The 19,557-nt window shown below is 36.5% G+C and overlaps 1 protein-coding gene, 1 long non-coding RNA gene and 1 other non-coding gene across 8 annotated transcripts in view; 1 reads left to right on the top strand and 2 right to left on the bottom strand.

Moving 5' to 3' along the window:
- LOC124906269 (uncharacterized) overlaps positions 1-19,557 on the top strand; it is a 277,601-nt gene that overhangs the window by 94,727 nt on the left and 163,317 nt on the right. The gene's annotated exons all lie outside the window — the stretch shown is intronic.
- LSAMP (limbic system associated membrane protein) overlaps positions 1-19,557 on the bottom strand; it is a 643,114-nt gene that overhangs the window by 83,454 nt on the left and 540,103 nt on the right. The window lies entirely within an intron of this gene.
- On the bottom strand, positions 19,239-19,299 carry SNORD155 (small nucleolar RNA, C/D box 155). The gene has a single exon (NR_145779.1). It is a non-coding gene; the product is annotated as a small nucleolar RNA, C/D box 155 (small nucleolar RNA).

Raw genomic sequence — 19,557 nt, forward strand, 5'->3', positions numbered from 1 at the left:
AGGCTGGAGAGCCTGAAAAAAAACCATTGCCCAATGATCCCCAAAACTACAAAGTGAGTACTTGACCTCTTAAAGCACTGAATAAAAGACAACATTGGAATTTTCATCTGCAACAGAGGTTTGTCTATCCAGATATGACTTTTAATGGTTAATTGGTTTCTTTAAGTCTTTGGCAAAGACTTATTGTTTGAGAGCACAGATTCTCTCTGTGCTTCAGAGAACCAGGAGTTCTAGTGTTTGAGGACAAGGGAACAGCTATGTTTAAGCTCAAAAAAAGAGAAAGAAAGAACTTGCCCTTCCTCTGCCTTTTCATACTAATCCATATCAGTGAGGAGGCATCTTCTTTACTGGTAATGCAAATGCTAATGTCTTCTAGAAATACCCTTACAGACAGACTCAGAAAAAAATGTTTTAACAGCTATCTGGGTACCCCTAAGCCCAGTCCAACTGACACATAAAATTAAACAGTGCACGAGGTATGTATGCTTATCCAAACATGTATTCTTAATTTCTATATTTATCTTATTGTGAACTGTTAATAGTTTACCAATTGGCCATGACCCAGTCCATGGGTTACACTTCAAGTGGCAGTGATGTAAATGACAATATGCACTATTTAAAATCAGAACAACAAAAGGTGGTTATTTAGTTGAAAGAATCTACATCCAAGCAAATGAAGTTCCAAAATTCCAAAACTCAACTCTAAATTCTCCATGTTTTTCTTTCAGACTTGAAATACTGGTAAGTATTTTATTCCTAGGTTTTCCCTAAACAAAATTGTTATTGGTGCTTTCACTTCTGACTTTAGTGCCTCTAGCTAATCTAGTCCTTATCCTTTATTGAGTGTTTGTCAGGAACAAAGTGGGAAAATAGAGCCAGCTCAATAGGCTAAAGCTGCATTTCCACAAACCCACTTCACTTATGGCCCAAGATGAAATGGAGCAGTTGTTTCTGAGAATGGGATATCATCTTAGGTTAACAATGTGTTATCTTTTTTTCTGTATTTTGGAAATTGGAAACCACCTTGAGATACCAAGTCTACTTCTTTTTGTTCAAATGGTTGAGTGTTTCATTGCTGCTTATGTAAACAGAGTTCAGCAATAATGTTCTCTTGGATAAACATGCTCAACTTTAATTATTTTTTAAAAACTATTCTCCCATGACGGAGACCTAATATGAAATGCTATGCCAGCATCAGCAATAATTAACATACAAGGCATTTTATATGTTCTCGATATTAGAACAACAGATTTTCTTTGAACCCCCTTGACCTTAAAACATGGGACAAAGGAATAGCCTATCTAAACAGGAAAGCCTAAATAATTTTCATGTTTTAGCAAATTCATTTTTTTCAAGTGACTCTTAATACTTTCTGATATTAAATAAATATTCTATGGTGAGACTGATTATGATTAGAGGGGTGACTATGTAAGAGCAACTTTTCTCTTTCCCATTATATATATCATTTTATAATTTTATTATGTCTATGTATTTATGCATATGTAAGAACAGCTGTAATTTTTATCTTATAATATGAAATCAAAGTAAAGAAATATTTTAATAACTAGCAATAACAAAGTTCTGCATATTAAGACCACTACCTTGCTCTTGATGAAATGAATGAAATACTTCAACAAGTGTCTGCCGTTTAATAATTTATTTGACTCAAATGTTGCTCTTTTGGTTTTGCATTAAGTAGAACAACTATATTGAAAGAATTCATGCAGGAAGATGCATATTTTAATTACATTTAACCTGTTTCTCTGTTAATTTGTTGGGGTACAGAGATAAGATGTGGATTAAACATTTTCTGAAATGCGTTTTTCAGAGCCACAGGCAGAAGCTGAGGCCACCCTGTCATTTAATGAATTATCAGTTTAGCAGGCATTGGGTATCTATATATATCCACAATATTTTTAGTGACAAGGAGCAGTGGGAAGAAAATAGGTAGAAATTTAGAGCAGGCGACCTTGGGGAGATTTGGGAAGTCACAGAATCTGCTTCACCTGGCTACAGTGAGAGCATAATCCCACTTAAAGACCGCAGAATGAAGTATTCATTGATATGTCTGAAGTAATATGTATTTTAACATATTTTTACCATTAAATATAAAATCAAACTATTGACGGGCAGTAAAGGAGGTCAGATCCCCATGTCTCAATGGCTAAATAGTGGACACATTTTAGCAAAGTACAGTGATACCTCATCTTGTCACTGATTGAATTTATGTCAGGCATTGATGAGTAAGGCAAATAGTTGTCCTTTTATATTCTCACTCAAAATACATTTACTTGTGTGGGTATGTGTGTATAACTATTTATATATACAATTACTTTGATTTAGAAAGCAGCATAAAAATCATTGTTCCATTTTCTTCTCATAAACCATGAAATACCACCACAAGACTAAAATAAGTAAATGCTTTTTAAGTGTCAATTAATTATTTTGTCATTAACATAACTGTAGAAAAACATCCATCCCTTAATACATTGCTGTTTATCTTTCTATAACCACCCCAGGCCTTTTCTTTTGCTTCTAGTCCCATATGCTCCCAAACCTAGATTTACTTGGAATATTGTTGTTAATTACCTCTTTAACACCTCTCCACTACTTTACACAGCATTTGACCTCACATCATACCCAGTCTTCTGGTATAAATCATCCCCCATGCTGTCCAGAGTTCCAAGCATCTCCATTTTCAGTCTTAAATCAACACCTTCCAATTACATTTTCAAAAAGAAGTTAGGGATATACTCAAACTGATCCGAATCCACTCCAATGTTTGGTCCACTGTTTTCTCTGAGAACCAGACTTCCACACTTATTGCTTGGTCTCTTGAAGCTCATAACCCTTCTTTTTGTTGTTTTCAAAAATTCTCCCAGGGAGTGCCTATATTGAACAAATTTCTATTTTTTCTTCTTAGTTCCTTCCCATCTACTATCCTGATCTCAGACTGTTTGGAAGTATAATAAGTGCAGAAAAGAGGAAAGTCAACTATGTGGCAAATTTGGCTGGTGAGATTATTTAGAATGGAATCCTAGTCTATTCTAAGTCTGTGGCTAGAAGAAGTAAATTCTGAGGAAAAAGAGACAGCCCCCTATACCAACCCTAAAGATATTAGTCCCTCTCAGGGGTAGGCTCTTTCTTCAACCACGCAGAGAGAATGGACAGGAAGGGAAAGAAAGCCAGTGAAGTGGAACCATGCCTTGTTTACGCCATCTGTTGAGATTCCTGTGAATGTTCTCCCTCTCTCTAAAGCACTCAGAGCACACATGTTCCAGTTGGGTAGGAAGTTGGGGTCCTTTTCATCCAGTACAGGGCTGGAATGGAAAGGTGAGCCTGAAGATGGGCAAGGTTCCTTGTGTTTAAAAACTGGATATGAATGAAGTTAGTTGTCATTCTACCTAACGAAAATACTACTCTTTTGAAATTAAGTATAAAACTTGAAGTGGAATATCTGTAATCTAAATGCGCTTATGCTGGGTGATGTGTTGGTGAATTTTCAGAGACCTATGAACTCATAAGAATGGGTGTGTTTGCCTGTGTGTGTGCAGGGGTTACTAAAGAATGAAACTGGGATTCTGGTGCTCCAATTGGGGTTATATTTAGGTAAGGCTTAAGAACTTGAGAGGGGAGTCATGCTGTAGAGTCTGGTGGTAGATCCAAGTCCAGGCAAAACTGATATTTCTAATATGAACACAGCACTGGATTAAATCTCAGAAGGACTGGTTTTCAGTCCTGCTTTGGCCCCCAGTTATGTATAACATAAATGGAGAAGATGGCATTGGAGTATCAGCGGAATGACCTTTGAGAGTAAAAACTAGCAGTGACCTTAGAGATTAATAGTCTGTAATTCTATAAGGTAACCCTATAAGAGAAGTTTTCCTCTTTACTATATCTGAATTCTCTATAAACAATATGGCATTAATGACTGTGTTTAGGCATTTCTGCAAGGCTAGGACATAGTCCTAAAAATTGAGCACCGCAAAACGAATCCTGTCTGTGCTTCCATCACTACTAAAACAATGCGAAAAACATACAAATCATATTAAGAGCATCTTATATTGCATTTAAATATAGTAACAGTGGAAGAGATAATTTTAGTTACTCCCTCAGAACTAGCAAAAACACACTCTTTTGCAACTCTCCCATTTGTTATTGTTTGCAGACACTGCATACCTAACACTTGTTTTATGTAAACAAATAAAAAACTCAATAAACAGTATATCCCTTCATTCTCTATAGCAGTAAACTTCTATTTTAATGAGATTTGAGTTCAGTACAGCAATTTTGATTTCTTTTCAGGTTGGTTAAAATAAGATTTTACATGAATTCCTAAATCTCAAAAGCATCCACGGCTCTATATGCTGGCTCAATACAGACAATGTTAATGTGATCTCTCTGGGACATTTTGCAAACAAGTTTCTGAACTTGTACAAAGAATATCGGAGCATCAACCAGCTAAAATTACAGTGACCTAACAGATAGTCATATAGTCATGTAACTATATGTCATATAATAGTCATGTAACTCTACATGATAATCCAACAAGCACAATTTACTCCTCTATTATCTCTAATCTGTCTATTAATCAACATGGAACTAGTAGTTCAGGTTAAGCCTCTCTTACAGACCACATTACTAGTTTGGAATGATGATATTCCTTACTTTTCCAGTTAAGAATAAGATGTTCTCACAGCCGGTTGAAGTTGAATCTGAATTATGGGAGAGATTTGCCTTCTAAGTCCTCTCACTTTCTATCCATTCTTTCTTCTCTACATTTGCAAAACACATATTCTCCTACTCTTCGCCTGTTTCTGTTTCCCTTTTTCCCAGGAAACAAAACAAATGAAAATGACACCTCAGTAAAAGATGTAGCCAGTAAGCCTTCATGTACTCATTGACTGATGAGGCTTATGTTGCATCATTCCAGAGGTGCTTCTATGTGAAAAGAGTTTCATGCAGCCAAAGGATAGCTATTGTGGTGAAAGCCAGGGCAGTCTCAGTCTGAATTCATCCTAGATATATAGAGATATTGGGATCCTCAGCCCTTAGAGGATCTATCCAATTTGCATTGCATCATGAGCATCCCATTTCAGTATCCTGTAAAAATACCGACATTTTCCATGTGTGCCCTGATGGGAAAAAGTTTGTGGGAGGCTTAGCTAGGAATAAGGTTGATAAGGAGTGTTTCCATTATGACACAAATTGTACTATACTTCTGCCTTCTGTAAACTTTGCTCACTCAACTGTAGCTTACCCCTAACAATACTTTCAGTTATATGTGAAGGGAAGGCTGGGAACCAGAGGCAGATTTACTGGATACCTCATTGTTGTGACATAATGTCAGGAACAGCCCCAGTCTTCCTCCATCCATGTATACATATTCATTGCAATGGAAGTTTGTAGGCCCCTCCCACTTCTGACTCTAGGCTCAGCCTTGTGATTTGCTGTACCCATCAAGATGCTGGTAAATGTGATATAAACAGAAGCTTAAAATGGGCATGCACACTGGAGCTTGTTCTTCTCATGCTCTCTGATAATGTCATGAGAAGAAACAAGCCTGGGCTGGCCTGATGAAAGATAAAGGACATGCGAAGAGCTGAGCCACGTCATCCCAGTCAAAGCCTTCCTACATCATTTGACCTCACAACATATGAGTGATCTCAGGTGAGATCAGCAGTCACCTGGCCCACCATCAGTGCTGACACATGAGCAATATGCTTATTGTTGAATGCCAATGAGTTTTTATAGTTGTTTGTTATATGGCAGGGTTCAAGCAACAGAAAATGAATAGTCTAATGAAGCTTCAGCTTCAGGGCCAGTCTTTTGCCAAGGCCCTATTCCAAACCACTCAGGAGAGCCCTTAACTATTTGTTCAATTTGGTCAGAGTTTTGTAAATTTTGCAAAAATATGATATTTTAATCACAGGATTAGAGTTGTTGCCTCCCACCATCCCTCTTCTCTTCCATCACACTTCTCCTGGTAGTAGGTGGCATTTTAGTGGCTTCGGTTATCTTGGGAATCCTGCTAAAGGGAAGTTCAGTTGGTTCTGCATATAGTTAAGTAGAAAGTGATATGATTATGATGTTCACAGTCGGTTCTTTGAATAGGTAAGTTATTATTAGTACCCCAGTGCTGGAATGTACTTACTTCTCACTGTACTATATCACTTAACATTGCAGGAACAAAGGTTGTAATATGATATGAACATGTCTTAGATTACCCAGTACAAGAATTATAAGAGTAGCAGAGGATAAAATGTATAAAGTCAGAAGCTGGTCAATGAAAAATTCTTCCAAGCATCAGACCTGTAAATTTTAAGCAAAATGGTTCAAACCCTTGGGAAAATTATTTGGTAGACTCTACTAAAGCAGAATAGCTACATATTTTAGAATCCAGTGATCCCACTTCTAAAAACATCATAACCAACAGAAACAGGTTCATATGTTCATTAAATGACATGTCCAAGACATTCTCAGCAGCACTATTTACAATAGTCCCCAAATAGAAACCACCCAATGTTTATAAATAGTAGAATAGACTCTAAACATTGTGGTATATTCACACATTGGAAAACCATACAGAATAAGATAAACTATCCAAACTATGTGTATATCACAAACACTAAGTTGAGTGAGAGAAGCCAGACACAAAAAGAAGTATTATAGGTATGATTCCACTTATGTCAAGTACAAAAGCAGGTAAACAGGGGTTACCCTTCTAGCAGGTAGGGACTGGAAGAAAGCATAAGGGGGGTTTCGGGAGTGCTAGTAGTGTTCTATTTCTTGATCTGGATATCAGTGTCATGCTATATATTTGTGAATGTTCATTGAGCCATACAATTAAAACAGACACTTTTTAGTATGTATATACTTCAATAAAATATTTGAAAAATTATAAACAGAGGATATAGCTATCATCAAAATGGAAAAACTTTACCTTCAGGAATATACTTGATGAAGTAGTATATATGAGTATGCATATAATATACATCAATTATATTATATATATAATATATATTATTTTAATTTAAACTGTGTGAAATGGCATTTGTCAGAATCTCTTTTTAGGGCAGAAATCTGTCACAGAACTACAAATATTGGGTATGGGAGTATGTGAAGCTGTATGTGAAATCTCACTGTATCAATCAGGAAATACTTAAATTTCTTATCAACTTTATACAAAACATAAAAATCTCAGCAAACTAACACAGGAACAGAAAACCAAACACTGCATGTTCTCACTCATAAGTGGGAGCTGAACAAAGAGAACACATGGACACAGGGAGGGGAATATCACACACTGGGGCCTGTCGGGGAGTGGGAGACTAGGTGAGGGATAACATTAGGAGAAACACCTTATGTAGATGAGGGGTTGTTGGGTGCAGCAAACCACCATGGCCTGTGTATACCTATGTAACAAACCTACACGTTCTGCACATGTATCCCAGAACCTAAAGTATAATAAAGAAATCAACAAGAATAAATAACTTTTGGCTTGCTACTAGAATGAGAACTCTGACGACAAACTGGTTAATGAATATTGTCAACTCAAATAATATTTAAGAGTGATCAGCACAAAAGAAAACTTGAAATGCACTTAGCTGTTGTAGCTCATATACAGAAGAGTCTCAGTAGAGGTTTCTTTTTCCCCAAATTGATGACAGTCCTAAACATTTGCATAATATTGGCAGGAAGAATTATAAAAATCAAAGGACCTTTTAAAACTATCAATTTTAACATACAATTTTTGATCAATCATAGTAGAGAAAAATTGAGTTGTCTCTTTATTTGCTCTATAAAATATTATAAAAGTGTAGTCTTATGAAGAAGCAATCAAAAATGTTCAAACGAAAAAATCAGGAATAAAAGTATTAGATGTATATCAGGCAATTAATTCATAAAATGATGGTAACATTCTCTCGATTTTATGTTTAACTTCTATTTTTACTCTAAATAAAAATGGACTTTTACACCCAATTTGTGTTCTTCTTTTCGAGAGGACTTACAAATTATAGAACTTTCAGGTACCACAGAATCGAGATAGATGACCGTGCTGGGAATCAACATGCATACTCCGTAGCCATGTGACCCAGTTGCAAGACTGTCTCCTGGCAGACAGATTGTCATCACTTCAAATCCCCTTTCAGCTTCTGACCCCTCCTGTGTCACACAGGTCAAACCTCCTTTTCATGTCTGCTTTCTCCCTTTTCACTTTCTTACTCTTAATTTAGACAATCTTATTCTGCAGTATTATTTGAATTAGATAAATACGCATAACTCTTTATTCCATCAACCATACTGCAAGAATTTAGACCATCTGTCTTCTAGCCTGGTTGGACAAAAGTCTATGGTGCACCTATTTTCATCCAGGGTAACCTTGCCCAGATCTCTGACTTGTCAAATAGAGCTTTAACATTTTACTCACCACTAACAATTCCTTGCCTTTGGCCACTGCCTATATCCTAATACTTCCTTCTATTAGCATTTTTGTCCCTATTTACATGCAACACCTAAAGGGCAAAGGGAAATAAAGTATGTGCTCACAATGCATGAACTGGCCCAAGACCCTCGGTACTCTCTGGATGAAGGAATACTCTTCTATTAAAACACCATGTGAGTGAGATGGGAGAATGAACTCATTCTGAGCTCTCTACCTTTATGCTAGAATTTGGGGATGAAGAAAACATAATAAAGTAAGAAGAAAATGGCTTCTTTGGCAGACCATCTTATTCAGAAATACCATCTTCTGAGTTAAGCCCACTAATTCAGCATTCAGATTTAATGCATTGTTCATGAAAAATGAAAACCACTGATAACATATTTTTTTCCATGAGATGTTCAGAAAAAAATCTCAAGCCACTGAAAGAATTAATTTGCCTGTAATGAAACTGACACGCAGGAAAAATTTAAAATCAATCTTGTGCTTAAAAGCAGAACAACACTGATGGTGCCTCAATATTTCCTCCCTCTTCCCACTGCTAGCTTGTTACCAGTGAACACATATTATGCATATTACCCACAAATCTCTCCTTTATTTAAATTTTAAAAAGAAACACCATGTTTTTAATCAATCTATTTGCACTTGGCTGTCAAAACTCACAAAGGCACTTTGATTTCCTTTCATTATTCTCAAGAGAACCAAATGCGGATGAATAGAGAATAAAAAGGAAGAAAAATTAAGGGTTAATACACCTTGTTAAAGTCAGACAAACAAACAAAAAAAAGATGTGTTTATTCACGGCCTGTTAAAAAATTCTTGCTATGCTTCCCTCCCATTGACAATTACCAGAATCATCAGGTATAAATGCAGGCTTTTGTCCTTTAACTATCAGATTGTTCTTCCATGGTTCTTAGTCACAGCTCTTGTTATCAGAGCAGTTCAATCTCTTGACTGTGAATTGTGAGGGTTTAGAGGCTGGACAGAAAAATCACTGAAGACTTTAGGGATGTATCATTTTGGTATTGTTGGTCAAAGCTCTTCTACTGACAGGCAAGAGACCAAACATTCATTAAAGGACCAAACAGATGGGGTCAGTTGACTCCTAGCAAGTTTTGGGTATTGGGAGCAAGGGTCTCCACAGGGATGGCAGAAACGCTGTTGGTTTCACAAACTGGCTGATTACTAGAACTTCCTGAGTGTGGTTTCCAGATTTAGTAAACAAAAATACAAACAGCCCAGCTAAATTTGAATTTCAGGTAAAAACAAATAATTTTTCAGTATAAGACCCCTTTGCTGGAAGTGCATCAAGAGGGGAAATATTTCTTTGAACGGATCTATGGAATGGAAGGAGAGTAGTATGATGAGGAGGGATGAGTGCATTTAATACATAAGAAGAATATGTGACAAATTTGTGATTTCCTTTCATTGTATTTATTCCTGGCAGAATACAAAGTGTATCTGTAAGACCATATTTATCCAGGGCTCCTTGGAAATGATTTATTCTGTAGAGAAATGTTTTGTTTGTTTTCATAATTGTTGAGGGGTTACCTCTTTAAGTAGTAAAACATTTTACATTCTAACTTCTAGGGATGAAAATCTTTCTTAAATGTGTCACACATATATTCTTGCCATTTCAAAAAGAAAACACTGCTATTTATTTTTCCCTGAAGAGCCAAGTTTATTATTATGAACATCTATTGTTGTACAACATTGATACCATTAAAATTAACTGAAACATCTGCTGGGCTATTTGCCATTTCACTAAATGTACCTATGCTTGTGTGAGCTTTAAGTTTTTGCATCTGCTTTTGTTGTTTATGTTTTTATGTTGTCATTTATGTTTTCTCCCCAGTCAAGCTATTAACTGTTATTCTTTCTCCTTTCTAATTTTTCTAAAATTCTCTACCCCTTGCTAAGATTTATAAATAAGACAGCAAGGAAATAAATCCAGTTCTTAGGATTGTTTGTAAACAAAAAACCCAATTTAAGGTCCAAACAGGGTTTATGTGAACAAAGTACACTAGTAGCTAAAAATAATGGTCTTTAGCTGTTAAAATAGTTTGCCACATACATATTCAACTGAAATTGATTGCTACTCAGTTCCAGGTAGGTGTAGTTATAAGGTGGCCAACTCCCAGGTAGTTGAGTGAGGTGTAATATACTCCTTGTGGATATATATAGTGGTATCTGAGATAAAAATTATTATCAGAGTAGAAAAAGATGAAATCAGTAGCTGCAAGGCAGGTGATTCTGGATCCAAGATACTGGGGTCATCCTGCACTGTCAAAAACAGTGTAGAATGAGATCTGACTCTTGCTGGCTTTTATGAACTTGTACCATTCATTTAATCAAAACTGTGCCTTGCTTTTCTCATTTGCAAAACAATGTAGATAATCAATACCATTGATTTAGGTATTGAGGAAGTGAGGATAATTTCTACTGTTCTCCTCATTTTTCTAAATTGGTCTCATGGTATGCAGCTTTTACTATTTTTACATGTGGTCCGCACATTGTTATCCTCAGTGAAAGGACTTTCAAATTTGAGGGAAGAGGGCTTCTTTTTTTTATGGTCATGATTCATAAGTGCAGGATTTCTATGCCCTGAACATGGGTTCCTAAGTTCCAATGTGCCCATGCATGGAGAACTTCTTGTCCTCCTTGGAAACACATTCTGAGCAAGGCCTGCCCTTTGGGGTTGTATCTATTCCCACTCCTTTCTTCTGTCAGTGATGGGTAAATGCAGTCCTAGACATTTAGGTATGAAGGCTAGCTGATGGGGAAGGAATAAGAAGCCTCGCTTATGATTCCAAGATTAAGCTTCTCATTGGTGACCCTTACCAGAGAATCTCTGAACTGGGTAGGGTTCGGCTATGGTATGTGTGTGGCAGGGGGAGGGAGGAGGTATTGCTTAGATGCTCACCCAGCTATTAATAAAGCTGATCATTTTTCCCCTCATTTGGCCAGGGTTGTTGTTGTATATAATTTTCTCTATAGCTAACTTGGAAGGAGAAAAGCAGAGCAGCATGAAACTCACTAAATTCCATCAAGAAATCTTATTACTGTTGGAGGATTATGGTGATTACATGATTTTTTTTAAAAAAGCTTGACATACAGTAGGCCCTCAGTTATTTAGTTATTTACCTCCCTCTTCTCTCCATGAAGAGAAGAGGAGAGGAACTGAATGGAGGGCTATGAAATGGGAAAAGTGGTAAACCATAGTGTTCTACCTGATCAAGAAGCTGGGGGGAATAACTAATGAATAATTGTAAAGCCTTTCAGAAAGATAAAGTCTATAGAAATGCAAAATAGTAATATCAGGGAAGTAGAGATGTCAGTTGAATATAAAGAAGACAGCTTTTATTCCCATACAAATATCTTGGTCACCATCAGCAGCGGTGGACAAGAAAACAGAAAGAAGGGTGTGTGACAGTTTAATAGTGTTTTGTTAAAAATAGAACGTGTTTTAAGAGTGTCTGGACTTTCTTTAAAATAAAAAGATGAGCACTGACTCACTTTCTGTTAGAACAGATTCAGAAGTGCCTCTGGCAAAAATCACTGGCTTTCCCACCTCCAATTTCCTATGTTAATTAAATTGGGAGGGCAAATTTGGTATATGAGAGGAACAATGTCAAGAAGCCATGTTGGCAGGCAAAATACCGCTTCATGTGGGAGCAGTTCGTGAGCTCTGGCCAGCTCAGCTTTCCACGCTGAATTCAAATCTCACTCCAGATCCAAAATGCTAGTCCATGATATCCCTCCTGAGGAAGTCCTAGGGGCTAGGATAAGCTCAAGAAAGACCATCTGCTTAAGGATTTATATTCAGAAACCTGGGACAATGGGGAACTCTTGGCTCATTCTCAGGGTGTTAAGGGTTTAGTGTTTCCCCAAATTTTGGATGATGATAAATGCTATGCAAAAAATAGTTTCTACATCAAGATAAATTTAGGAAACACTGGATTTAAAAAAATTAACAGATATTTTTCAACTGTAGGAGTTCCTAAAACCTTTCATATGTTAATGTGAGCTGTACATTTCCAAAAGATAAAGACAATGTGTTCTCCAAATTTATTTGACTATAGAACTGTTTTACAGAGTGTTCATCAGGGCAAGCCATAAGGTGCACTTTGGGAAATACTGTTCTGGGGCCACCTACAGATTTTTCTTTTTGTTTTGGGCATCCTAAGGATTTTCTAGAAAGAGCTGAATCTCCAGAAGAGCCAAGAAAGTAGATTTGAGAATTCAGCTGAAATCTGAACAACCTATTGAGGTTGCATCTCAGTCCACTTTAGTACCAATATATGATTGCCTCATTTGCATGAAGATGCATATATATATATATATATATATATATGCACCCAAAAGACATTTCTTTGATCTTAACAAGATACAATTAGATTGAGACTCACCTAGTACCCAGCCAATGGTCCAGCCTCCCTGGCTATGACTGAATCAGGCAGACTTCACTTAGCAGAAAGCTCAAAGATGGGGGATGGGGAGCATGGTGCTTCCTTGTTTGAAGGTTGTGAGGCATCTCCAGTGGTGACCACCCACTACATAGCCACAAAGGAAGTTCGAGAAAAGGAAGAAAGGGACTAGTGTGTGGTAAATTCTCTTTGGGTGCTATGAGCATGCACACTTAAGTCTGGGTTGCAGTGGCCAAGGGGCTGTCATGCAATGACCATTTGAAGCCATGCATCAACGTGTACAGCCATGGGTGTCTCAGATGGCACCACAGTATAAATATAGTCAAATCAGTTCAGTATCCAGAACTCAAAGGAGAGAATTGTGCTGAAATCATGGAAAAGGATAAAGAAGCCTCATTTTAATATGTTAAACACACACACATAACTAAGGCAGCCAATCTGAAACAGAAGCAGATGTATTCAGGGTACAAAGAATAACATTTTTAGCTAGCTCGGCTTCCTTTCAAACAGTTTTTTTCAACAGTGAGAGCTTTCTGAGAAATGCATTTATATAGGTACAAAGCATGTGTCTCTGTGGCAGCAGGAGTCCTTATTTGCATCAGATTTTCTTTAACACCTGTTTGTTTCAGAGGGCACTGCCTTCCTAGGAAACACTCCAGAAAAGGAATTACATAAAGAAAGGATGCTTTAGTTTGGAAAGATGAGGCAGTGCAGAGCATTCACAATTCCTATAAATCACCAAGTCTACTTTCCTTGGTGAATAAGAGAAAGGTACTTTAAAAAACTATTATTATAAGAGCTGTGATTACCCTTGTATACATAACTGCCTGATGCCTATTTTTAAACCATGTCCTTGGAACACAATGAGTATTCAATAAGGGATGTAGACTTAACTCTTCCAATATCTCAATCCTGCACATCCACTAAATCTTATATGTCAAATTGCCATAAAATCTAGATGTGATGCTGTTTTATTCTGTTGATTAGAATGATTTTGTATCTAACTCTATACATAGTCCAAACATCAACTTTGCACAGTCAGCAACAATCTAGATTCTTAAATATCCTGAGAAGGGGACATGGCATCTGGCTCTGCTTTAAATTGTGCTTACTGTCGACAACAGAAGTCTCTAAAAATGGCATCGGAGTTTATATTTATTCACATCTAATTTATTTCAGAGGGACAGACCCAGTTTCCAAATTGAAAGATCGTCTTCCTGATGACCATTAGGAATGGCCTGCTTTCTTAAGATGTGAAGGAAAAAAGAAGTTGAATGGCCTCTATGTACTATAATCCTTCATGTCCTCACAGTGGTGCTGTAAGCATGATAAATAATTTTGGATGTAGAATTACACTTAACTATTTGCTTTTAGGATATTTGTTTCTTTACCTGTCTTCCTACATTCAATACATCAGAGAATTTCAGTGTGGGTTGTGACCTTAAAGATATTATTCTCTAGGTCCAAATGCTATAGATGAAGAAACTGGGGCAGGACAAAACTAAGAGCTTCATTTAAGTTTAAATTGCTATTTCAGCTGGGCGTGGTGGCTCATGCCTGTAATACCAACAGTTTGGGAGCCCAATGTGGGTGGATCACTTGAGGTCAGGAGTTCAAGAGCAGCCTGGCCAACATGGTGAAACCCCAACTCTACTAAAAATACAAATATTAGCTGGGTGTGGTGGCCCATGCCTGCAATCCCTAGCTACTTGGGGGGCTGAGGCAGGAGAAACTCTTGAACCCAGGAGGCGGAGGTTGCAGTGAGCCAAGATAGCACCACTGCACTCCAACCTGGGCAATAGAGTGAGACTGTCCAAAAAAAAAAAAAAAAAAAAAATGCTAATTGATACCAGAGTCAGCTTTTGCCACAAACTCTGACCCTAAGGCTAAAAGACCAGAGATTTGTGAACTCTCAATATTTGCTAATGTTCTGCATCATGAAAGGATGGAAGGGTACATGAGCAGGCATACAACCAAAAGGAGAGAAGTTGGCTGCTCCATTTATTTTGTTTCCTGTCTCTTGTCTTCAGCATCAAGAGAAATGTTGACAGTGAAAGAACAATGGTTAAATGGAGAAAAACCATTATTCGCTTTCAGGTACCTTACTGGGCCTTTGGCACTCACAGTGGATTCTGCATCAGGATGAAAACAGCTGATTTTGGTTCATGGCTATAGATCCTGGAGTTAAAAATGTCTAAAGCAGCACAAACAATTTTCTCATTTATTTGGAAGTATTCTTCTTTTCTGAGATTCTTACTTTCTTCCCTCTCAATTTTGGCAAAAACAAGTTTCATTTCCTCCACCAACACATATTCTCCCTGCCCTTCCTATATTCACCTTTGCTTAGTAGTGAGTAGCAGGCTCTGCTATACATGCTGAGTAAGAGAAGGTAAAGCAGTAGGAGCATGCTTATGGATACATTCTCTGCTATTAGCTGCTCTGGACAGACCTTTGGATGCTCTGCCTCTAGAATCATTTGGGGTCTGAGAGTCTGTGCTTAATCTGTCAGTTATGGCAGCCAAGAGCAACTTACATAATCACTGGCTTTTGACAATGTAGCAGTAAAATACTAGATAGGAAGGCATGTGAGGAGGTAATATGTATAATAATACATTTTTGTAGGTTTCAAAGTGTGTCCTTGGCTGCCTTCTCTTCTCATTTTACCTACTTTACTTGGGCTGCAATTACTCCCTTGATGTAGATGCTTCCCGAAATAGTGTTCAAGTCCAGATTACAGATACCTATTTTCAACTGTCTCCTACACATATTAACCTGGATGACACACTAGCATTTCAAAAGCAACATGTCAAAACCCAACTTTTTGTTCTACTCCCACAAACCAGTTTATCTCCCACAAAACCAGCGTATCTCCCTGTATTTCCTATCTCAACGTATAGCATCTAAATCCACTCAGTAATCGAAGTCAGAATATTGTTAAACCATCCTGGATTTTTAATTGCCATAATATTTAACATCCAATTAATTACCAAATAAAATCTTCCAAATACCACCCCAATACATTCTCTTCCTTTCTCCCTTATCAAGGCTTTAGTTCAACATCTTATCTCATATAAATGATAAAATTTAATTCCTGGGCATATATAAAATATCACACTTTACAAGTAAAGAACATAGATTCTCTTAAACACATATGGGTTGTTTACAAAAATTGACCACATTCAGAAATAAAAAAGCAAATACCAATAAACAGAATTGTTATCTACAGATAACTATTTCTGGTAAAAATGCAATTACACTAGCAATCAATGATAAAATTTAACTAGATAAGAAAAAACCCTGTCCATTTAGAAACTAAATAACTGAAAGGCAACAGAAAAAAAATCACAATAAAGTAAGAGGAACAATAATAAAAACATACAAATCAACTCTTGTGCATTTTAGTTAAAGCAGATGTTAGTGGATAATCTATAACATTAAGTGTTTATATTATAAAGAAATACTTGTTAAAAATGAGCTCATGCATTCTAGAAGCTACCAAAAGAATAGCTCATAGAAATATATAGTATCATATATTACTATTATTCTATAATAAACTCACTGAAAGTAGGAAGAAAATGATAATAAAGATAAGTGCCCATGTATTGGAAAAGACAACAATAGGAAACAATATAAAAATTAGCACAACTAAAAGTTTACTCTTTAAAAAGGTTATGAATCATGCAAAACTATAAAACCCTGTAAGACAACCTATGCAATACCATTCTAGACATAGGAACGGGGCAAAAATTTCATGACAAAGATGCTAAAAGCAATTGCAGCAAAAGCAAAAGTTGACAAATGGATCTAATTAAAGAGCTTCTGCACAGCAAAAGAAACTATCAAGAGAGTAAATAGGCAACCTACAGAATGGGAAAAAATATTTGCAAACTATGCATCTGTCAAAGGTTTAATATCCAGCATCTATAAGGAACTTAAAAAAATTTATAAGAAAAAACAAACATCCCCATTGAAAAGTGGGCAAAGGACATGAACAGACACTTTTCAAAAGAAGACATACATACAGCCAACAAGCATATGAAAAGGAGCTCAACATCATTGGTCATCAGAGAAATGCAAATCAAAACCACAATGAGATACCACTTCACACCAGTCAGAATGGCTATCATTAAAAAGTCAGAAAATAACAGATGCTGGTGAGGTTTCAGAGAAAAAGCAACATCTATGAACTGTTGGTAGGAGTGTAAATTAGTTTCAACCATTGTGTAAAGCAGTGTGGCAATTCCTCAAAGAGCTAAGAACTACCTTCAACCAGCAATCCCATTACTTGGTACATACCCAAAGGATTATAAATTGTTCTATCATGAAGATACATGCACGCATATATTCACTGCAGCACTATTGACAATAGCAAAGACATGGAGTCAACCTAAATGCCTATCAATGGTTAGACTGGATAAAGAAAATATGGTACAAATACACCATGGAACACTATGCAGCCATAAAAAGGAATGAGATCATGTCCTTTGCAGGAACATGGATGGAGCTGGAAGCCATTATCCTTAGCAAACTAACAGAGAAACATAAAACCAAATACTGCATGTTCTCACTTACACGTGGGAGCTAAATGATGAGAACACATGAACACGTAGAGGGGAACAACAGACACTGGGGCATCCCTGAGGGTGGAGGGTTAGAGCAGGGAGAGGATCAGGAAAAGTCACCAATCGGTACTAGACTTTATAGCTGAGTGATGAAGTAATCTGTACAACAAACCCCAGTGACATGAGTTTACCTATATAAAAAACCTGTACATGTACCCTTGAATTTAAAATAAAAGTTTCAAAAAAAAGGTGTCAACAAAGTGGTTGGCTTGAGAGATGGAATTTGTTGGAAAAAGGCATAAAGAACCCTCACAGGAGGATGGAGATGTTTTATATCTTCTTCTCAGAGATGTTCATTTGGATACATTAGCTTTTTTTCCTGTATAAATTTTACCTTATTGAGATGCTATTTGGAAAGAGGATAAGGTAAGTTAGCCTCTGATAAAAATGTATCTCTAAAAGGAACAATTTTACAGGATCTTAATAGGTTTAACAGGTTTTAATAGGTTAGGCAATACAATATATTTTATCAAATAATATCCTATGGGATTACTATGCCTTAAGACACACTTTGGTAAACTCTTATTTAAATGGTACTTAATATTTAAAGCAGACATTATATTATAACTTGTTTTTAAAAAATAAAGTCTTCCCTCCAAAATTCTTTTGAAAAACTGTCTTGGGTTTGCATAGCTCACTGATGAGTGATTCCAGATAAATGACACATTACTGCAGAAAGTTGAAGATGTGGTTTGAATTTCACTATCTGAAACATAAAACTCATTCTCAAAAGTAGATGTTAGTGAATGGCACAAATTGAAAGATGTTATGAATCATCTGTCGACGGTAGTCAAAAAAAGTGAAGCAACAAATAAAGATAGGAATTATGAAGTGGACATGACTATAGATGTTAGTCAAAAATTGGATGTCACTATAGATTTAAAAAGATAAAGAGCTATTAAACATATTTTAGGAATTATTTATTGGAAAATTAAAAATGCTTATGTCAAATAGTTTTAAAAATGTAAATGAAAAATTTTAATTTCTAAAACAATGTAACTTAGAAAAAGGGATCCATGAAGAAATAGGAAATATTTACAGTTTTATAGTAACTTAAGAAATTGATCTAGTGGATACAAATCTTCCCACAAAGAAAACGTCAGTCCCAGATAAAATTATAGAAGAGTTCTACTCAACATTGAAGGAAAAAATAATAAAAACAATACAAATTTACCATACAACTCCTGCGTTTATAAAAATAGCAACCAAACACTTTACAACTTATTTTATTAGGCTAGTAAAACATTAAAATTTCTTCCTAACCTGTGTCCTTGTCCCTTCTCTCACCTCTCCCAGATCTACCCTTCACTCTCAGAGTGATCTTTCTAAAATGCGAATCTGATCACTCCAGTCCTTTAGGGACACTCAGGGTTTCTTCATTATCACCAGAACAGAACATCAACGTTCCTTCCTCTGGTAACCTGTCTTACTCATTTCATCTCTGCCTACCTTTCCAACCTCGTAATTTACCACTTCCTATTGTGCTGTTGTTGCAGTTTTTAAAAGATGCCTCTGATTTTTACTTACATGTCCTCTGACTTCACACTCCTGCCTTTCAAAACTAGGTTTTGTTGGTCCCTCTTTTGGACCCGTAGAGAACTTTTGCCTGTCTTCACAATACCTATCCCATCTTATTGAACTCTGCTTATTATAACAGTTTGTTTTCCTCATGATGTTTTAAACTCCTTGAAGAATTTGTGAGTCTTTAGGGTCCAGCACATGGCTGGCACATGGTGGGGTACAGGCTCTACTTCAGACATATCTTGGATAAAATGCTCTTTTGCACAGCTTGTCAGTCATCATCAAGTAGAATCCTGTATCTATGGGAAAATACACTCCAGGTTACAATGAACAGCCAAAATTGCTCTTTTAGAATATAACCTATTTTTAAGTCAGAGTCTGTCTCTATTAGTGATGAAAAGTTTCTCACAAGTTTGGTATATGGAGAGACAATAAAAGCATCACCTCTCTCTCCTAGGTACTTTCAAAAGACAGGAAACTCACAGTTGCTCTAATATGAGATACCGATGATATTGGGAAACATTCTTCAGTGCACAGACACATG

Source organism: Homo sapiens, chromosome 3 (assembly GCF_000001405.40).
Source record: "Homo sapiens chromosome 3, GRCh38.p14 Primary Assembly".
Lineage (NCBI taxonomy): Eukaryota > Metazoa > Chordata > Mammalia > Primates > Hominidae > Homo > Homo sapiens.